Here is a 21,336-nt window from a genome sequence, read left to right as displayed (position 1 = left end):
GATCTCATCCCATTAGGACCCTTGTCTCCTTTTCTGTTGCCTTTTCCCACTGGCTCTGGCAACAGGGGTCTTTCTTTCTCCTTGGCTATCTTTGGATATGGGGGCTCCGTCTTCTGTGCCACCTTAGGGAATGCCTTTTGCAGGCATGGCTAAGTCATTAAAAAGCCTACAGTTTCAGTAACATTTTGAGTGAGCACTCTCTGAAGCTGCGTTGGAATCTCAGGCTTCTTTGTCTGGAAGATAACTCTTGGGCTACAAGTTTCTTATCCTAGCTTTGGTTTTGAGGCCTCTCTGTTCTCCTCTTGGGTTGGAAGTTATTCCTGGCTTTTTGTTTCAAGGTGTCTCTGTGATCTTGATCTTGCTGCTTTCATGGGAACTTCTCAGTTCACTAAATTCTCCCTTCTCCAACCTCTGCTGACTATGTGTTCCACCAATATGGAACTAATTCTACTTCTTTTCCTGTTTGCATGACTTTACTAAGAATTATTTACAACTTTAATGGCTCCTTTGAGAAAATTTTTATTTTCCAAATTGCCTCCTTTTAGACCTTTCCTTTCCCAGTTGAGTCTCTCAACTCCCTATAATCACTGAAACTTCAGGCACCCCACTCCATGCCTTGGAGGCTCTCAATGTGCTCAAGAATCTGCAAAAGCAAACACCTGGGGCTGAAGAATAAAATAGAAAAAAAATTATTTCTCAGCCTCCATAAGATTCTATGTCAAAAAAAAAAAAAGAAAATCTTTAAAATCTCCAAAAATATTGGTGAGAAAAAAGCCTTAGCCCTCATATGAAGAAGAAAAAACTTGTTCCATTTTCCAGATACATAGTTATAATACAAATATAAAATGGGGCAAAGACAAAAACCAAGTCTTCTATATAAACTAGTGAATTTTGTAGTTATTGTAATCACATTAGGCAGGGCTCTCCATAAAGGCAGAATCAATAGGATATATGTAGATAGATGAGAGAAGATTCATTAGGGGAACTGGTTCACATAATTATGGAGGCTGAGAAGTTCCACAATAGCCTGTCTCCAAGTTGGAGAACCAGGAAAGCTGGTAGCATGGCTCACTCCAGATACAAAGGACTCAGAATCGGGGAAGCCAATGGTGTAACTCTGATTGTGAGGCCAAAGGTCTGAGACCCTGAAGTTCTGATGTCAAGGGCAGGAGAAGAAGGATGTTTCCATTTCAGAAGGAGATAATTCACCTTTCCTCTTCCTTGTTATTCTATCTGGACTCTCAACCAATTGGATTCTGCCTGTATTCATCCATTTTTATACAGCTATGAAGAAATACCTGAGTCTGAGCAATTTATAAAGAACAAAGGGGTTTAATGGGCTGACAGTTCCACATGGCTGCAGGGGCCTCACAATCATGGCAGAAGGGGAAGCAAAGCTATCCCTCTTCACATGGCAGCAACAAGAAGTGCTGAGCCAAAGGGGAAAAGCCCCTTATAAAACCATCAGATCATGAGAACTCACTCACTGTCATGAGAACAGCATGGCGGTAACCACCACCATGATTCAGTCACCTCCCACTGGGTCCCTCCCACGACATGTAGGTATTACAGGAACTACAATTCAAGATGAGATCTGGGTGGGGACACAGCCAAACCATATCAGTGCCCATCCACATTGGGTCATGGTTATCTCAGTGTCTTCCAGAAACACCCTCATAGATATGCCCAGAAATCGTGTTTGACCAGCTATGTGTGTCTCTTAATCCACTCAAGTAGATGTCTAAAATTAACTGTCAGAATATTTATGCCTGATTCATGGCTGAAATTGTTTGACCAGCTGTGTGTGTCCCTTAATCCAGTCAAGTAGATGTCTAAAATTAACCGTCAGAATATTTATGCCTGATTCATGGCTGAAATTGTGTTTGACCAGCTATGTGTGTCTCTCAATCCAATCAAGTAGATGCCTAAAGTTAACCATCAGAATATTTATGCCTGATTCATGGCTGAAACCGTGTTTGACCAGCTATGTGTGTCTCTCAATCCACTCAAGTAGATGTCTACAATTAACCATCAGAATATTTACGCCTGATTCATGGCTGAAATCGTGTTTGACCAGCTATGTGTGTCTCTCAATCCAGTCAAGTAGATGTCTACAATTAACCATCAGAATATTTATGCCTGCTTCATGGCTGAAATCGTGTTTGACCAGCTATGTGTGTCCCTTAATCCACTCAAGTAGATGTCTAAAATTAACCGTCAGAATATTTATGCCTGATTCATGGCTGAAATTGTGTTTGACCAGCTATGTGTGTCCCTTAATCCAGTCAAGTAGATGTCTAAAATTAACCATCAGAATATTTATGCCTGATTCATGGCTGAAATCGTGTTTGACCAGCTATGTGTGTCTCTCAATCCAGTCAAGTAGATGTCTACAATTAACCATCAGAATATTTATGCCTGATTCATGGCTGAAATCGTGTTTGACCAGCTATGTGTGTCTCTCAATCCAATCAAGTAGATGTCTAAAGTTAACCATCAGAATATTTATGCCTGATTCATGGCTGAAATCGTGTTAGACCAGCTATGTGTGTCTCTTAATCCAGTCAAGTAGATGTCTACAATTAACCATCAGAATATTTATGCCTGATTCATGGCTGAAATCTTGTTTGACCAGCTATGTGTGTCTCTTAATCCAGTCAAGTAGATGTCTACAATTAACCATCAGAATATTTATGCCTGATTCATGGCTGAAATCGTGTTTGACCAGCTATGTGTGTCTCTCAATCGGATCAAGATGTCTGAAATTAACCATCAGAATATTTATGCCTGATTCATGGCTGAAATTTCAGGATGAAAGCTATGAAATCTCTATTTGTGTTTGTATATCTATTAATGTATGTTATGTATATGTGATATTTTCTTAACTCCAGAGAGCATTGCAAAATTCATTTATGAAATCCTCTAAAAGTGCTCTATTCTAACTTGGCTTGGAAAAAAATAAGCATTTATAAATAAATATTCACCAAACTCCTAGAAATATAGGAACTGATCAAATGTTTCTTAAGTTAACATGATTTGGATAAAACTTAGTTAAATAAGATTAATATAGTATTTTTGGTGTAATAAAACAACTATATCTTCAAAATTATCATTATTGAATATAAAACAAGCATAAATTCCTATTCTGCTTGAGTTCTAGTCAAATAAGCTAATATTATACTTACTAGAAACGTAAAATCTTAAAGCTTATAGATTTGATTCTAATTAAGTTGTCATTCTTATGAAAAACATTATTTTTTTATGCTGAAAAAATACACATATATTTAGAGTTAGCCAGCTGGACTCAGTTTAGATGATCCCAATTTTGTTACAACATCGAAAGCATCATAATCAGGAGCAAGTCGAACATATGCCTTGTTCTCTTTATCAGGACAAATCAGGGTGGTGACCTTGGCCACATCACTGTCATAGAGCTTCTTCACAGCCTGTCTGATCTGGTGCTTGTTGGCTTTAACATCCACAGTGAACACAAGCGTGTTGTTTTCTTCTATCTTCTTCCGGCCGACTCAGTGGTCAGCGGAAACTTGATGATAGCATAGTGGCCAAGCTTGTTTCTCCTGGGGGTGCTCTTCCGAGGATATCTGGGCTGCCTCCGGAGTCGCAGTGTCTTGGGCCGCCTGAAGGTGGGTGACATGCGGATCTTCTTTTTTGCGTGTGGCTGCGGACACCTTTCAACACTGCCTTCTTGGCCTTTAAAACCTTCACTTTGGCTTCGGCTTTAGGAGGAGCAGGAGCTTCCTTCGCTTTCGGTGCCGTCTTGTGAAAAGCGAAAAACTTTATTTCAAAAATAATTTGTTTACAGTAAATCTGCCTAAGAATAGTTTCCAAAGTACTTTTGGTAATTTTTAACCTTAAAGTTAAGCTAAGTAAAAGATTTGCATTAAATATCTAGACCATTTATAAATAAGATACAATACTAAAACATTAATTACTGAACATAAATAATTCAAGTTTATATACTTTTGGCTTCCTGTTTTTACAGAGAGACTAAAGATATTTTGGCCCGTTAATAAACATGTTTTTTTCTGCCACACTGAGGAATTGTATTATGAGAAAACACATCCCTCTAGATGTTGGGAGATGGTATATTCATACATTTTCTAACCTACTATAGAATGCTAATATATGACAGTTTATAACTGTCTACTTCCTAGTTTTCTCTGGAAAATAAAAGATTACTAAGTATTAAAATTATAATCAATATATGTAAATAAAACTACTAGAAATAATAGAATAACTAGAAACAACTCTATGCAAAGCATGCAAGAAAAGTAGGGCATGTTTCGCAAGTAAAGTAGGTTGCATTTTTTATAAGGAAAACCATACAGAAGATACAAATAAAAAGAGATACCTAACCTTCCCTGTGTTATATTTGTATGGGTAAAATGTTATGTTTTCAGAAATTATATAAAATTCCTGGAAGTTTGTCAATGTCCTCCTTATCCATGCTATGTGCTACTATAGAGTAATGAGTCATAATTCCAATTATTACTTTAAATGTTGTGCCAGGCACAGTGGCTCATGCCTATAATCCCAGCACTTTAGGAGGCTGAGGCGGGTGGATCACAAGGTCAGGAGATCCAGACCATCCTGGTTAACTCGGTGAATCTCCATCTCTATTAAAAATATAAAAAATTAGCCGGGCGTGATGGCAGGCACCTGTAGTCCCAGCTACTCGGGAGGCTGAGGCAGGAGAATGGCGTGAACCCAGGAGACAGAGCTTGCAGTGAGCCGAGATCGCACTGCTGCACTCCAGCCTGGGCGACAGAGCAAGACTCTGTCTCTAAATAAATAAATAAATAAATGTTGTCTGCCACAGAAAAAATCGAATATTTTGGTAGAAACCCTGTCTCTACCAAAAATACAAAAATTAGATGGGCATGACGGCATGTGCCTGTAGTCCCAGGTAATCAGGAGGCTGAGGAGGGAGGATCGTTTGCACCCAGGAGGTAGAGGTTGCAGTGAGCTGACATTGCACCTTTGCACTCCAGCCTGGGCGATAGAGCCAGACCCTGTCTCAAAAAAAATTTTTTTAAAGGAAAACTATAGCCATTGTGAGTTATCAGATTCTAGTCTTGTTTCTTGTTTCTGGGCTATTTTTACCTCTTTGTAAACTGGATCCTGCCATCTGATGAATTTTGTCCCACAATGATACTTGGGGAACAAGAAGCCAAGTATTGTCTCTCCTACTAATGTATCTATTGTCAGTTAATTTGAAGGTCTCCAACCCTGGAACAAAGTTAGAAGAGGAAGGTTCTACTCCCCAAAATGCATAACCAAATTGTGCTACATTCATGTAATGGAATACTATTTAGCCATAGAAAGGAACAAGATATCAACACACACAAAGACATGAGTGAATCTTGCATGCACATTGCTAAGTGGAAGAAGACAGTCTGAGGAGGATACACACAGTGTGACCTCATTTAATGAGACACTGGGGAAGGCAAACTACACAGATGGGAAGCCATTGGCTCCATGGGGTGGGGGTTTGAGGCATTCCATATGATACTTTAATAGTGGGATATCTGCCACAATGCATTTGTCGAAATATGCAGAATTTTACAGCCAAATGGTTAAAGCAAACTCTATTCAAATTAAATCAAATTACTCAGGATGTGGAGTATCCCAGGACAGAATACATCATGTGAAAAAGAATTTATGCTACAAATTACGATGGTTTGGATGTGGTTTGTCCCCACAAAAACTCATGTTGAAATTTGACTCCCACTGTGTCAGTGTGGGGCGGTGGGGCCTAGTGGACGGTGTTTGGGTCGTGGGGACGGATCCCTCATGAATAGATTAATGTCCTCCATGGGGGTGAGTGAGTTCTGTTCTCACAGGAATAGATAATTCCTGCAGGAGCAGGTAATTAAAAAGAGTCTGGCTTCCTTGGCTTCCCTCTTGCTTTCACTTCTGCTATGTGATCTCTGGTGCACCCCTTGCTCCCCTTCCACTTTCCACCATGAGGTGAAAAAGACTGAGGCCCCGCCAGATGCAACTGCCCAATCTCAGACATTCCAGCCACCAAATGTGAACCAAATGAAACTTTTTTACTTATAAATTACGCAGCCTCAGGTATTCTGTTACAGAAGCACAAAATGGACTAAGACACAAATCTAGGTAAAAACTTTGAAAATAAATAGAATCTGTAGGCTGAAGGCACATGAACTATACTTCATTATTGGATTCCATTTTATAAAGTTCTTTCCAACAGAAGCAATTGTGAACAATTGTAAAACCACAGTGTCTGTATCTGGAGTAAAACAATGACTTACATAAGTCGCAGATGGTGGGAACCAGCTTTCTCACTGTTGAAGTGGGAGGTTACAAATTAGCAAGACGAGAAGGCTAGAATGATTCCTGTGATAGTAGATCAGAGGTGGAGACATCAACGTAAACTTATGCTTAGTTTAATATAGATACACACAGATCTACATAGAAAACTTTATAATTAGGTGTGTGTAGGTAGGTTAGACACGCACATATACTTCCTAGCATTGCTAATGAGGGACAAGATACAATGTGCATTCAACAGCCACATGTAAGTTTTCCCACCATTCTGAAAGGAATCAGGCTCTTTGAAGAAATGTCTGATACTAGAACTGGGACAGTAAATATAGGAGCCAGGATAATCTGGAAGTATCAGAAAGTAAGTACTAAAAAAATTAAAATATATCAAACAAAAATAAAAGCCAATAAAAACAGCTACCGATGGCCAACACAGGAAGGAATTGTGCAACATAATGCTATAGTGTCGAATAATAACTAAAGCTTAAAGTAATTATCTAGGTGTCTGTATTTGTATACCTAGGTGAATAAGCAAATGGAGTTGCATAGAAATCTCCTTTGCAAAAGAATTCCAAATAACTGATGTAGACACTCAGCCATCAAGAAGGTGGAGCCAACTCCTCACTCCGTAAGTGTGGGCTCTGCATAGTGACTTGCTCCAAAAGAACACATGCAGTACGGACAAGGAGGAAAAATAACTTCACAGTGGAGAAATCTGACAAACAGTAGCTCTGCCAAATGATCCAAGTGAATATCAAAGCTGACAGTTCACCTTGAGAACATGAAGTGACAATGGGGGGCATTCTACAAAATTCCTGACCAATCCTCCTCAGTGCTATGAAGGTCATCATGAGATGGAAAGCCTGACACACTGTCACAGCCAGGAAGAGCTTATGTGATGACTACATGTCGTGCGGGATCCTGGATGGGATCCTGGGTCAGAGTAAGATAGAACTAAGGGAATCCAAATGAAATATGAACTTCAGTTAATAACAGTCTATCAGTATTGGTTCATTAACTGCGGCAAATTATGTAAGATATTAATAAGCCATGTGAGACACACTGATAGAAGATGTTAATAAGAGAGGAAACTAGGTTGCGGCTACATGGGAAATCTCTGCTTTTTTTTTTTGACGATTTCTGTGTAAGTAAAAAAAAGACGTAAAATAAAACTTTATTTAAAACACTGTTTTTTTAACACTTCCTTGTTTAATTATTTATACCATGAATTACTAGTAATTGACACTGTTAACTAGTCCTGTTTTTTAAAATAAGAGCAATTATGACACAAAAAATTAAACAGTGCAGACTGATATATAAATCAAAACAAATGTCCTTTACATGTTTTCTGTTACAGTAGTAACAATATGTGTAAACTTAATTATCATATTTTTTTCTTGTGCTGTGGTTGTGTCCTGGGTTCATTCTCTAAAATGCTGTTCACCTTAGACCAGGAAAAATATTAACCATACAGACTCTGTTTCAAGTCATAGCTGAATATTTTCAAAAGAGTGACTTTGTAAAAACATGTTCCAATGGCAAATTGATTCATTGTGATGGGATCAATTATTCCAAAGACTTCTTGTCTTTATTTTGTTCCCATGCCTACCTTTTAGCCATAATACAACAGAATCAAATATTGGCCACTGGGAAAAAATATTCAAAGAAAGAAAGAATGTGAACAGAACTTATGACCATGATGATTCAATGTTTTACCACAATGCTTTCTAAAACAAAAGAGTCTAAAAGGATATTCAAAGTCAATTTCCTCAGCGAGGATTTGCAGAAAATGAGGAAACTAGAAAAACAAAAATGGCGGGACATTCTACGGGTGATTTTAAATGTTGCTATGTTTTATGGGAAAAAATACTTTACCTTTTAAAGAATCACAAAGAATTATTGGAAACCCAAACTCTGGAATGTTTGCAAATTTAGTTGAGCTTCTGTGTAATTATGTCTATATAGGTAGCCATGAAGTTGATGATTTCTTAAAAATCTGTGCCTTATTTGTGTAATAAAAGACACAATGAATAATTAATACTCATAGGAACACTTACGAAGGGAAAATAAATCTTGGGGACTCAAAATCACTAAGCTAAAGGGAAAAGTCAAGCTGGGAACTGCTTAGGGCAAACCCGCCTCCCATTCTATCCAAAGACACCCGTCTGATCACCTAGATAAATGCATACCTGATTGCCTCACATGGAGAGGGTAATCAGCAATGCAAAAGAATGAAACCATTTGTCTCTTACCTACCTGTGACCTGGAAGCCCCCTGTCTGGCCTTCTCACCTTTCTGGACTGAACCAATGTACATCTTACACGTATTGATTGATCTCTCGTGTCTCCCTAAAGTGTATAAAACCAAGCTGTGCCCCGACCACCTTGGGCCCATGTTGTCAGGATCTCCTGAGGAGGCATCACAGGCGCACATCCTCAAGATTGGCAAAATAAACTTTCTAAAAAATCTGAGAGCTGTCTCAGATTTTCAGGGTTCACACATGTAATGTAGGATGTCAATGTTTATAAAAGGGATGTTATTCTATCTACTATTAGAAATATGCTGTCAATTAACCTTAAACTTTCTCAACACAATAAAAAATGTTGATGAGGTACAAATAATATATCTAGGCTTAAATAGTGTTGCAAGTTTTAATATGCCTACTTTTCAATTTTTCAATACTATCTTTACTAATTTAACACTGTAAGAAAAATGAGTAATTAAAACATGAATAAAAGTGTTTACAGGGGATGCACATGTTTCCTCCAGCCTCTGCCTATACCCAACTTTCATCCCAACTGTCCTGATGGTGGCTCTAAGCATTTCTCCTTTCTCTATACCAAGATATCTCCCCAGAAACAAACCCAAATCTTACTATATGTTATGGCACGCTATGATGATGAGCAGCGATGAGCAGCCGAAGCCTCAAGGAAGGGATGCTTTTGTAAAACAAGACTTGTGGAATATAACATGTGAAAGTAAAGCCCATGGCAGAACTCCCTCCTCAGCACACGGGGAGCAGACAGGAAGCTGTTGCCTCACCTTCCTCAATGGCCTGCAGCCACGTCTCCCAGGTCAGTCTTAAGGACAACGAAACTCTGGTCTTCACTGTGGACACACCACACTACCAGGTGCTCCAAAGCCATGGTGACCCACCCTCGGGTGGGACCTGAGGAGAACAAAGCTCTGGTTCTAATTCTAACCCTAACCTTGTCCCAAGACTTTGACACTGAACCTAAATCTTGATCCCTATCCTGGTCCCTAATTCTGACCCTTACTTTGACCCTGACTTTGATCTCGACCCTGACCATGACCCCACCTCTAACCATACTTCTGGCCCTGACTCTGACCCAGATCCTAATCCTATCCCTAACCCTATTATTATCTTTACAATCTATGTCTAATCTTACCCTCTAGTGCTAAATAGCTGTACCCAAAAGCACTTTTAAATTATTTAACTTCTTTTCCTTGAATTCTCTAAGGACATCCTAAAGGAGATGTCAATATGTATTTTGCATTCCCTCTGAGTGGTATGGCTTCAGATAAGAAGTTCTAATACTTTGCAAGACATAAAAAGTTTGGAGGGTGACAGCACTGGGTTGTTAGGGATGCATGTTGGCATTCGTGGTAGTCATAGGTGCTGTTCTCCAGATATTTTCAGTTCATATTTTATGAATGCATTCTGACTGTTCCATCCCGCCTACTTACATTTTCACATGGCCACATGACTTTTTTTTTGCCAATGGAGGTGAGAAGAAATAACATGTGACTTTTTCAGGAGAAATCTCCAAGAAACAGAGTGCTATTCCGCATACTTTTTTCTCTTTTCTATAGCAATGGGGATCTTATTGATTGTCCCTCCTTCCGTCTGGATTCCTGTGTTAGGATGACACAGCACAGAGCTACCTCTCACCTGACCCATGATGAAATGTAAATAAATGAGGAAGAAGATTTTTGAGCCACTGAAATTTGGAGGTTGTTTGTCACCACAGTTTAACCTAGCCCCCATTTACTGATGCACGGCTGAAGAATGAGTCCGAACTGGATCTGGACAAGACATGTGAAGAGCGCTCCAGGCTGAGTAAAATTCAAGTGTTGTCTCAAAGATAACACTGAGCACGATATGTTATTGGGGTGGGTGTGGGATAAATAAGGTATATCAGGTGAGAATAACAAGAAACTCAACTTTAAAAGACGGTGCCGATTTGGAAGACACCAAATTGGAAGACAGCAGGAGCTGCCCCATAATACCAGTAAAGTGAGAAGCAGAGATAAACTAGTCCTAGACAGCTGACTCATGTTGGGGGCAGCCCACTCACAGTGGCCCTGACCCAACTCTGACTAGAGGCCACTTGATCTCAACACCAGGGTGCTCAATGGCCCGTCCTGGTACTCTGCTCTACACTGGTTGTAGGAAGGAATCTGCAGGTTGAAATAAGGAGATCATTTCCCTGAGGTTCCGAAGCTCATATTTACTCACCATTTGTTGTTTACTGCTAATGTTGAGCACTGTCAGTAAAATACATAAAACCCTTTGCCAATCCAGGAAGTGAAAATGACACTTTACTGTTTTAATTTGCATTTCTCTGCTTACAAGTGGATTACACACATTTTCATGTGCTGTTGGCTACTTATTCATTCAGAAAACATACTAAGTGCTGGCTCTTTTTCATGTCCTTTATCAAGTTTGGATCATGTCATTTGCTATTTTCTTTCTGATGTAAACTCTCAAAGTCTGAAGTGTATTGTCTTTTCCTGACACATATGTTGTAAATAATTTTCTGGCTTACATTTTGACTTTTAATTTCATTCACGATGTTTTTAATGAATAATTTTAATTTTTATGAATGCAAGTTAAAATAATTCTTTCATTGTGGTCTCTGACATGTCATGCCAATAAGGGTCTTCTCCTCCAAGAGCACAGAAATATTTGCCAATACTGTCCTTAAAATCGGTCACAGTTTCATTTTTTATATATGCATTTTACTTCAATTGGGGCTTCATTTTACTGAATGCCCTATTTGAAGCAAGTTTCTCAGTTAATTCTTTTCTCAAAGGGCTAAGTATGGTAGATTGCAAACATAAGTGGCCACATAATGCTCTCACCTCCTTTGCCTCCTCTCCCAGGAGGAGATAGCGTCCATCTTTCCACTCCTTAATCTGGGCTTGGCCGTGTGACTTGCACTGGCCAATGGGATATTAACAAGTCTGATGTGCACAGAGGCTGTAGAATGTGCACGGGGGCTTGGTCTCTCTTGCTGCCCTGGAGACCAGCTGCCCCACGAAGGAACCAGAGCCAACCTGCTGCTTCCTGGAGGAAGACAGTCCCTCTGTCCCTCTGTCTCTGCCAACCAGTTAACCTGCTGCTTCCTGGAGGGAGACAGTCCCTCAGTCCCTCTGTCTCTGCCAACCAGTTAACCTGCTGCTTCCTGGAGGAAGACAGTCACTCTGTCTCTGCCAACCCAGTTGACCGCAGACACGCAGGTCTGCTCAGGTAAGACCAGCACAGTCCCTGCCCTGTGAGCCAAACCAAACGGTCCAGCCACAGAATCGTGAGCAAATAAGTGATGCTTAAGTCACTAAGATTTGGGCAAAAGCTGAGCATTTATCCCAATCCCAATACTGTTTGTCCTTCTGTTTATCTGTCTGTCCTTCCCTGCTCATTTAAAATGCCCCCACTGCATCTAGTACATTTTTATAGGATCAGGGATCTGCTCTTGGATTAATGTTGTGTTCCCACCTCGAGGCAGCTTTGTAAGCTTCTGAGCACTTCCCAATTCCGGGTGACTTCAGGCACTGGGAGGCCTGTGCATCAGCTGCTGCTGTCTGTAGCTGACTTCCTTCACCCCTCTGCTGTCCTCAGCTCCTTCAACCCTGGGCCTCAGGAAATCAATGTCATGCTGACATCACTCTAGATCTAAAAGTTGGGTTCTTGGACCAGGCGTGGTGGCTCACACCAGTAATCCCAGCACTTTGGGAGGCCGAGGCAGGCAGATTAAGAGGTCAGGAGTTCAAGACCAGCCTGTCCAACATGACAAAGCCCCATCTCTACTAAAAATACAAAAATTAGCCGGGTGTGGTGGCACACACCTGTAGTCCCAGCTACTTGGGAGGCTGAGGCAGGAGAATCGCTTGAACCCAGGAGGCGGAGGTTGGAGTGCAATGTGAGCCGAGACCACACATTACACTCCAGCCTGGGTGACAGAGCATGACTCTGTCTCAAAAAGAAAAAAAAAAGAGACAGAGAAAAGAAAGCCAACAAGACACCATTAAGCAAACCATTGTCAGGTTATGGGAGTTTGAGAAGGAAAGTAGAGAAAGGAGAATAAAGCTTATTTAAAGAATGGCTGACAACTGCCTAAATCATGGGAAAGATTTAGACATCTAAATCCATGAAGCTTAAAGATTCCTAAAGAGGTTCAAACCAAATAGATACTCACCAAGTCACAATATAATCAAATAGTCAAAAGTTAAAGAAACTTTGCAGGTCAGGACAGAATCGAATAATACATTCAAAGTGCTGAAAGAAAAAAACTGCCAGCAACTAATACTATGTCTGACAAAGCTGTCCTTCAGAAAGGAAAAAGAAATAACGTGTTTCCTCGACAAACAAAGCTGAGGGCATTCAGGACCACTAGGTCTACCTTAAAAAAATGCTTAACGGAGTTTTTCAAGTAAAAATGAATGAAGTTGGGAGTGGTGGCTCATGCCTGTAATCCCATTTTGGGAGGCTGAGGTGGGTGGATCACCTGAGGTCGGGAGGTCAAGACCAGCCTGGCCAACATGGCAAAACCCCACCTCCAGTAAAAATACAAAAAATTAGCCAGGTATGAAGGCCACTGAGATCGTGCCACTGCACTCCAGCCTGGGTGACAAGAGTCAAACTACATTTCAAAAACAAAAAACAAAACAAACAAAAAAAACAAAACTTGAGGCCTGGCCTTCTGCTCCTCTCCAACCTCCCCTTCTCTGGGCCCAAGCCACCTTGGCTGAGGAGGGGGTGAGGAGGTGTGAGCCCCTGCCAGGAACCCCCCGCCCGGACCAAGTGCTCGGCCCCCAGGCCTGCGTTCAGTGAGGCCTCCCGTGGCGTCAGCATGTTCGTGTGGAGGAATGTGGAAGGTCACTCTGCGGCCGTGTTCTCCTGGTACTCCATCCCCTTCCTGACCCCTCCCTGCAGCCACACGAGGCCCAGCAACCTGCCAGTCACTCAGTGGCCTCCAACCAGAGAAAACAACCTGCCAAGTTGGCAGCCGTTGCTCATGAGCGTCCACCAGGTGGGACAGGGAGTGTTGACCCTGGGCGGCCCCCTGGAGCCACCTGCCCTGAAAGCCCAGGGCCCGCAACCCCACACACTTTGGGGGTGGTGGAACCTGGTAAAAGCTCACCTCCCACCATGGAGGAGGAGCCCTGGGCCCCTCAGGGGAGTCCCTGCTGGACAGTGAGACAGAGAATGACCATGATGATGCTTTCCTCTCCATCATGTCTCCTGACACCCAGTTGCCTCTACCACTCAGATGATGTCAGGCCCAGTCCCTCAGTGCCCTGCGCAAGGAACAGGACTCATCTTCTGAGAAGGATGGACGCAGCCCCAACAAATCGGACAAGGACCACATCCGGTGGCCCATGAGTGGCGCTCATGATCTTCAGCAGGCGGCACCAGGCCCTGGCGGGGCGCACCAGGGTCACCCCAACCAGGATAACCGGACCGTCAGCCAGATGCTGAGCGAGCGGTGGTACACCCTGGGGCCCAATGAGATGCAGAAATACAACCTGGCCTTCCAGGTGAAGGTGGCCCACTTGCAACAAGGACCAAAAGAAGTCCAGCTCAGAGGCCAAGCCCACAAGCCAGGGGCTAGCAGGAGTGTAACAAGGGCTCGTGGGAGCGGAGCATATCAGAGACGGGCACTGCCACTGCCCCTGGGGTGTCCTCTGAACTCCTGTCAGTTGCAGCCCAAACACTCCAGAGCTCGGATACCAAGGAGCAGCTTCTGTGGGGCAGAACGGCTGCACACAGTCAGGGAACCTGGCTCAGCCTGGCCCAAGCCTTCTCCCACAGCGGGGTACACAGCCTGGACGGCAGGGAAATAGACCGTCAGGCACTACGGGAACTGACACAGGTGGTGTCTGGCACTGCATCATACTCTGGCCCAAAGCCTTCTACTCAGCATGGAGCTCCAGGCCACTTTGCAGCCCCTGGTGAGGGAGGTGACCCGTGGGCAGCCCTGCTGCCGCCCACGTGAGCTGCTCATTCCCAGCACATGGCCAGCGAGGTCATAGCGAGTGACGAAGAGCACACGGTCATCCATGAGGAGGAGGGGGTGATGATGTCATTGCTGATGATGGCTTTAGCACCACCAACACCGATCTCAAGTTCAAGGAGTGGGTGACCGACTGAGAGTGGGGACAACTCTGGGGAGGAGCCAGAGGGCAACAAGGGCTTTGGTGGGAAGGTATTTGCACCTGTCATTCCTTCCTCCTTTACTCCTGCCGCCCCTTGCTGGATCCTGAGCCCCCAGGGTCCCCCGATCCACCTGCAGCTTTTGGCAGTCTATGGTCACACCCTGTCCTCCTCCTACACATACTCGGATGCTTCCTCCCCAACCTTGGCACCCACCTCCTTCTTACTGGGCCCAGGAGCCTTCAAAGCCCAGGAGTCTGGTCAACGCAGCAGAGCGGGCCCCCTACGGCCCCAACCCCTGGGGATGGGGGCCCAGGGACACCTTCCAAGGTGGCCTGTTTCCTCCCAATGGATCCTGCCACCTTCTGGTGCAAGAGACCTGAAAGTGTGGGTGACCTGGAGCTACCAGGCTCCTCAGTCATCAGGGTCCCTCCCAACACTAAGGCTTTCCTAGGCAGGAGCTGGGCTGAGCCACCCGGGGAGCAGAGCCTGAAGAGAAACTGACTGGGCTTTCGGGGTCGGGGCAGAGGGAACCCCACGGACATGGATCCCACACTGGAGGACCCCACCGCGCCCAAATGCAAGATGAGAAGATGCTCCAGCTGCAGTCCAAAGCCCAACACCCCCAAGTGTGCCATGTGTGATGGGGACAGCTTCCCCTTTGCCTGTACAGGTGGAGAAGCCGAGGACAGGCTCAGGGAACCGGAGACCGAGAAGGCGCTGTCCTCTTCACTGCACGTACCCTGGACCAGTGCCGGCCCTGATCATGCAGCTCTTCCAGGCCCACTGCTTCTTCCTGTCCACTAGGCCACAGCCGCCCTCCAGGCCCACTATGCACACATCTTCCCCTCCAAGGTTTGTTCTGCCCCTGCCCTGACTCCCAGCCCTGTGGGGGTCCTGACCGCAACTCACCTGGCTCAGACTCTTGACGCTGCCCTGGCTGCCCCACCACTGCTTCTGCCCGAGAGTCACGTGAGGCTGAGAGTAGGGGCAGGGGCAGCAGTGGTGCCAGTTGGGGGGCGGTCCAGTGGGAGGAGCCTCAGCCTCGCGGGCTGCTCCGTGGGACTGATGACTGCATGATCTTCTGGGCACCTCACGGATCTTCAACTGCAGGTGAAACGGATGCTGGTGGTGGGTGCAGGGCCGCTGGGAGCTGCTGCATGGTTCCCAGAGGCTGGACTGAGGCAGGTGCCAACTGAAGCTGCTGGGGCAGCATGGGCAGGATGTTCTGCACACAAACCTTGGAGAAGAAGATGTGTGCATAGCAGGTCCACTGCTGCTGCCCCTGCCCTGACTCCCAGCCCTGCCTGACCCCACCTCAACCTGCTCAGGCTCTGGCACAACCCTGGCTGCCCTGCCACTGCCTCTGCCCCAGAGTTGGGGCCTTGACAGCCTGGTTGGAAGGGGACACCCCAGCCCTGCCTCAACACCTGGGGGTCTCCATAACTACCACAGGCAGGTGGGCAACCCCAAAGATCCCAGGACTCACAGTACCCCCTGAGAACATGGACAGTATGTGGGGGTAGCAATGGAGGGCAGGATGGTTATCTTCTCCCAGGTGAAGCCATTTAATCCTTTCAGTTTGGGATGGAGTAAGGCCTTCCTCTTTTTTTTTTTTTTTTTTTTTTTTTTTTGAGACCGAGTCTTGCTCTGTCGCCCAGGCTGGAGTGCAGTGGTGCGATCTTGGCTCACTGCAACCTCTTCCAGCCGGGTTCACGCCATTCTCCTGCCTCAGCCTTCCGGGTAGCTAGGATTACAGGTGGACGCTACCACGTCCGGCTAATTTTTGTATTTTTAGTACAGACGGGGCTTCATCATCTTGGCCAGGCTGATTTCGATCTCCTGACATCGTGATCTGCCTGCCTCCCCCTCCCAAAGTGCTGGGATTACAGGCGTGAGCCACCACGCCTGGCCAAGGCCTGCTCCTCTTATCTATACCCCCTACCCCTGCAGCTGTGCCGGGGGAAAGCTGGGCAGTTTCCCTCCTCCGAGCCCCTGTACATACCATGAATTGTGGGACCTTCAGAGCTTTTCATTTTTCGGAAAATAGCTCCTGCTGGGGCTACAAGATGGAGTGTGAAGAGGGCCTTGGGCCACAGGGAGGCGCCTGTGGACTAGGGGGAGTTCATGCACCCCTTCTTTCCCCAGAGGGGCTGGACTCAGGTGAGTATGGGGGTGGGGGCTCCTGCACTTCGACACAGGCAGCGGGAGGGTTTTCTCCCCATTCCCTCTGCACTCCCAACTTGAGCTATACTTTTTAAGAAAGTGATTCACCCTGCCTTTGCCCCCTTCCCCAGAACAGAACACGTCGATCGTGGGCGATATTTTTCATTGTGCCAAAAAGTTGCCATGACCGTCATTAAACCTGTTTAACACCAAATAATAAGGAAAATAAAATAAAAAATTCGGGCTTGGCGCAGAAACTCACTCCAAATAAATTACCTACCAAAATATTTACATAATGGTGGAAATATTCCAAAATTCAATATTTTGGGATTTATACACAAAAGATAAACAAATTAGAGGCCAAGAGGCTGCCGGAAGGGAAAAACGGGGCCTGGAATGGCCGACGTGAGGAATGAGCTGGGCCTAAAGAGGCCACTGGCAGGCAGGAGCTGGACCTGCCGAAGTGGCCGAAAGGCAGGAGCTTTGGACTGGGGAGGCCGCAGTGAGGCGAGAGCTAGCTGGGCGTGGAGAGTCCGCTGTGAGGCCGAGGCCGAGGCCGGGCCCGTGCAGGCCTTCGAGAGGCAGGAGGCCGGGCCTGCAAAGGCCGACTGGAGATCAAGTTCTGCACCTGAAGAGGCTGCCAAAAGTCAAAAGCGGGGCCTGGGAAGGCCGCCAAGAGCCATGAGCTGGGCTGGGCCGAAAGAGGCCACTGGGAGGCAGGAGGAGCTGGGCCTGGAGAGGCTGACTCGAGGAAGTTTTGCACCTGGAGAGGCCGTCGAGAGGACAGAGCTGGGCCCAGGGAGGCCGACTTGCTGCTCTTCCAGGCCCACTTCCAGGCCGACTTGAGGACGACTTGGGCCTGCAGAGGCCGCCGGGAGGCTGGAGCTAAGCCTGGAGAGACTGACTTCGGGATGATTTGGGCCTGCGAAGGCCGCCGGGAGGCCCAAGCTGGGCCTAGAGGAGCCCACCGACCGGAGGCCATTTGGGGCCTGCAGATGTCATCGGAGGGCCAGGAGCTGAGCCTGGAGAGGCCACCACGAGGCCTGAGCTGGGCCTGGGGAGCTTGGCTTAGGGAAGTTGTGGGCCTACCAGGGCCGCTGGGAGCTGGGCAGGAGCTGAGTCCAAAGACGTTGTTGGGACCTGGAGTCGGGCCAGAGTCCGGCCTGGAGATGCAGCCGGGAGGAAGAGCTGGGCCCGGAGGGGGCGCCGGGAGGCTGCAAGTGGGTCTGAGAGGCCAACTTGAGGAGGCCTGGCCTCTGCCTCCCGCATTGCCCAGCTGTTCCTCCTGGCTGCATCTCCCACCTCCCAGCAAACAAGCTCTTTTGGCTCAGCTCCCGCCTGCGTTTGTAGACCCCGAAGTTTCTGCAACCAAGCTCTTCAGACCCACATCCCTTCTCCCAGTCACTGAACAGTCCCAGCTCCGGCTGGAGAAGGGCGTCTGCAGACCCCGCTGTTGCCTCCCAGGGGAGTCTCCAGGCCCAGCTCTCGCCCCACCGCGACCTCCCAGGCCCAAGTCCCTGCCTACCTCCCAGCAGCCCGAGTGCGATCCTGTTCCTCCCTCACGGTGGCCTGTTGAGGCAGGGGGTCACGCTGACCTCTGTCTGCGTGGGAGGGGCCGGTGTGAGGCAAGGGCTCACACTGACCTCTCTCAGCGTGGGAGGGGCCGGTGTGAGGCAAGGGGCTCACGCTGACCTCTGTCCGCGTGGGAGGGGCCGGTGTGAGGCAAGGGCTCACACTGACCTCTCTCAGCGTGGGAGGGGCCGGTGTGAGGCAAGGGGCTCACGCTGACCTCTGTCCGCGTGGGAGGGGCCGGTGTGAGGCAAGGGCTCACACTGACCTCTCTCAGCGTGGGAGGGGCCGGTGTGAGGCAAGGGGCTCAGGCTGACCTCTGTCCGCGTGGGAGGGGCCGGTGTGAGGCAAGGGCTCACACTGACCTCTCTCAGCGTGGGAGGGGCCTGTGTGAGGCAAGGGGCTCACGCTGACCTCTGTCCGCGTGGGAGGGGCCGGTGTGAGGCAAGGGCTCACGCTGACCTCTCTCAGCGTGGGAGGGGCCAGTATGAGGCAAGGGCTCAGGCTGACCTCTGTCCGCGTGGGAGGGGCCGGTGTGAGGCAAGGGCTCACGCTGACCTCTCTCAGCGTGGGAGGGGCCGGTGTGAGGCAAGGGGCTCGGGCTGACCTCTCTCAGCGTGGGAGGGGCCGGTGTGAGGCAAGGGGCTCACGCTGACCTCTGTCCGCGTGGGAGGGGCCGGTGTGAGACAAGGGGCTCGGGCTGACCTCTCTCAGCGTGGGAGGGGCCGGTGTGAGGCAAGGGGCTCGGGCTGACCTCTCTCAGCGTGGGAGGGGCCAGTGTGAGGCAAGGGCTCACACTGACCTCTCTCAGCATGGGAGGGGCCGGTGTGAGACAAGGGGCTCGGGCTGACCTCTGTCCGCGTGGGAGGGGCCGGTGTGAGGCAAGGACTCACACTGACCTCTCTCAGCATGGGAGGGGCCGGTGTGAGACAAGGGGCTCACACTGACCTCTGTCCGCGTGGGAGGAGCCGGTGTGAGGCAAGAGCTCACACTGACCTCTCTCAGCGTGGGAGGGGCCGGGGTGAGGCAAGGGGCTCACGCTGACCTCTGTCCACGTGGGAGGGGCCGGGGTGAGGCAAGGGCTCACACTGACCTCTCTCAGCGTGGGAGGGGCCAGTGTGAGGCAAGGGGCTCACGCTGACCTCTGTCCGCGTGGGAGGGGCCGGTGTGAGGCAAGGGCTCACACTGACCTCTCTCAGCGTGGGAGGAGCCGGTGTGAGACAAGGGGCTCACGCTGACCTCTGTCCGCGTGGGAGGGGCCGGTGTGAGGCAAGGGCTCACACTGACCTCTCTCAGCGTGGGAGGGGCCGGTGTGAGGCAAGGGGCTCACGCTGACCTCTGTCCACGTGGGAGGGGCCGGGGTGAGGCAAGGGCTCACACTGACCTCTCTCAGCGTGGGATGGGCCGGTGTGAGGCAACGGGCTCACGCTGACCTCTGTCCGCGTGGGAGGGGCCGGTGTGAGGCAAGGGCTCACACTGACCTCTCAGCGTGGGAGGGGCCGGTGTGAGGCAAGGGGCTCACGCTGACCTCTGTCCACATGGGAGGGGCCGGGGTGAGGCAAGGGCTCACACTGACCTCTCTCAGCGTGGGAGGGGCCGGTGTGAGGCAAGGGGCTCACGCTGACCTCTGTCTGCGTGGGAGGGGCCGGTGTGAGGCAAGGGCTCACACTGACCTCTCTCAGCGTGGGAGGGGCCAGTGTGAGGCAGGGGCTCACGCCTCTGGGCAGGGTACCAGAGGCATGAGTTGGGCATCAACAGGCCACCGTGAGGGAGGAGCTGGGCCACACGCGGGCTGCTGGGAGGCAGGCAGGGACTTGGCCCCGGGAGGCCGCCGTGGGGGCAAGAGCTGGGCCTGGAGAGGCCCCTGGGAGGCAAGGGTGGGGCCTGCAGAGGCTGTTCTCCAACCAGTGCTAGAACTGTACAGGCCACCAGGAGGCAGGAGGTGGGCCCTCAGAGCTTGGCTGGAGAAAGTTCGGGGCCTACAAAGGCGGCTGGGAGCTGGGCAGGAGTTGAGCCAAAAGAGCTTGCTTACTTGCTGGGAGGCAGGGCCGGGAGAGCCCGACTTCAGGACAACTTGGGCCTGCGGCGGTCGCCGGGAGGCCCAACCTTGGCGTGGAGGAGCCCACCGACCGGAGACCATTTGGGGCCTGGAGATGCCATCGGAGGGCAGGAGCTCATCCTGGAGAGGCCACCGTGAGGCCTGACCTGGGCCTGGGGAGCTTGGCTTGAGGAAGCTGTGGGCCGACCAAGGCCGCCAGGAGATGGGTAGGCACTGAGTCCAAAGAGGTTGTTGAGAGGCAGGAATCGGGCCTGGAGACCCAACCAGGAAGAAGAGCTGGGCCCGGAGAGGACGCCCGGAGGGTGCAAGTGGGTCTGGAGAGGCCGACTTGAGGAGGTTCTGGGCCCAGGGAGGCCGCCGGAAGGGAAAAACTGGGCCTGGAAAGGCCGTTGTCAGGAATGAGCCCCATGGGCCTGAAGAGGCCACTGGCAGGCGGGAGCTGGGCCTGCCGAAGCGGCCGAGAGGCAGGAGCTTTGGACTCGGGAGGCCGCAGTGAAGCAACAGCTAGCTGGGCGTGGAGAGTCCGCTGTGAGGCAGAGGCTGGGCCTGTGCAGGCCTTCGGGAGGCAGGAGGCTGGGCCTTGTCGAGGCCTGCAGAGGCCACCGAAAGTCAAAAGCGGGGCTTGGGAAGGCTGCCGGGAGGCATGAGCTGGGCTGGGCCGAAAGAGGCCACTGGGAGGCAGGAGGAGCTGGGCCTGGAGAGGCTGCCGAAAGGCAGGAGCTTCGCCTGAGGATGCCACAGTGAGACACCATCTGGGTCTGGAGGGTCCACTGTGAGGCAGAGGCTGACCTGTAGAGTCCGACAGTAGACAGAAGTTGGGCAAAAGGCTGAT

General features: G+C 48.7%; 3 pseudogenes; 1 reads left to right on the top strand and 2 right to left on the bottom strand.

Moving 5' to 3' along the window:
* Window positions 1–2,893: 2,893 nt before the first annotated feature.
* Window positions 2,894–9,377, bottom strand: LOC105379555 (60S ribosomal protein L23a-like; annotated as a pseudogene).
* On the top strand, window positions 9,222–15,214 carry LOC102723681 (protein capicua homolog; annotated as a pseudogene).
* Window positions 15,215–20,091: 4,877 nt separating this feature from the next.
* On the bottom strand, window positions 20,092–21,256 carry LOC105379556 (putative uncharacterized protein FLJ46235; annotated as a pseudogene).
* Window positions 21,257–21,336: the final 80 nt, after the last annotated feature.

Source organism: Homo sapiens, unplaced genomic scaffold (genome assembly GCF_000001405.40).
Source record: "Homo sapiens unplaced genomic scaffold, GRCh38.p14 Primary Assembly HSCHRUN_RANDOM_CTG22".
Lineage (NCBI taxonomy): Eukaryota > Metazoa > Chordata > Mammalia > Primates > Hominidae > Homo > Homo sapiens.
The sequence above is the reverse complement of the archived record's forward strand: the minus strand, read 5'-3'. Positions and strand labels throughout refer to the sequence as shown.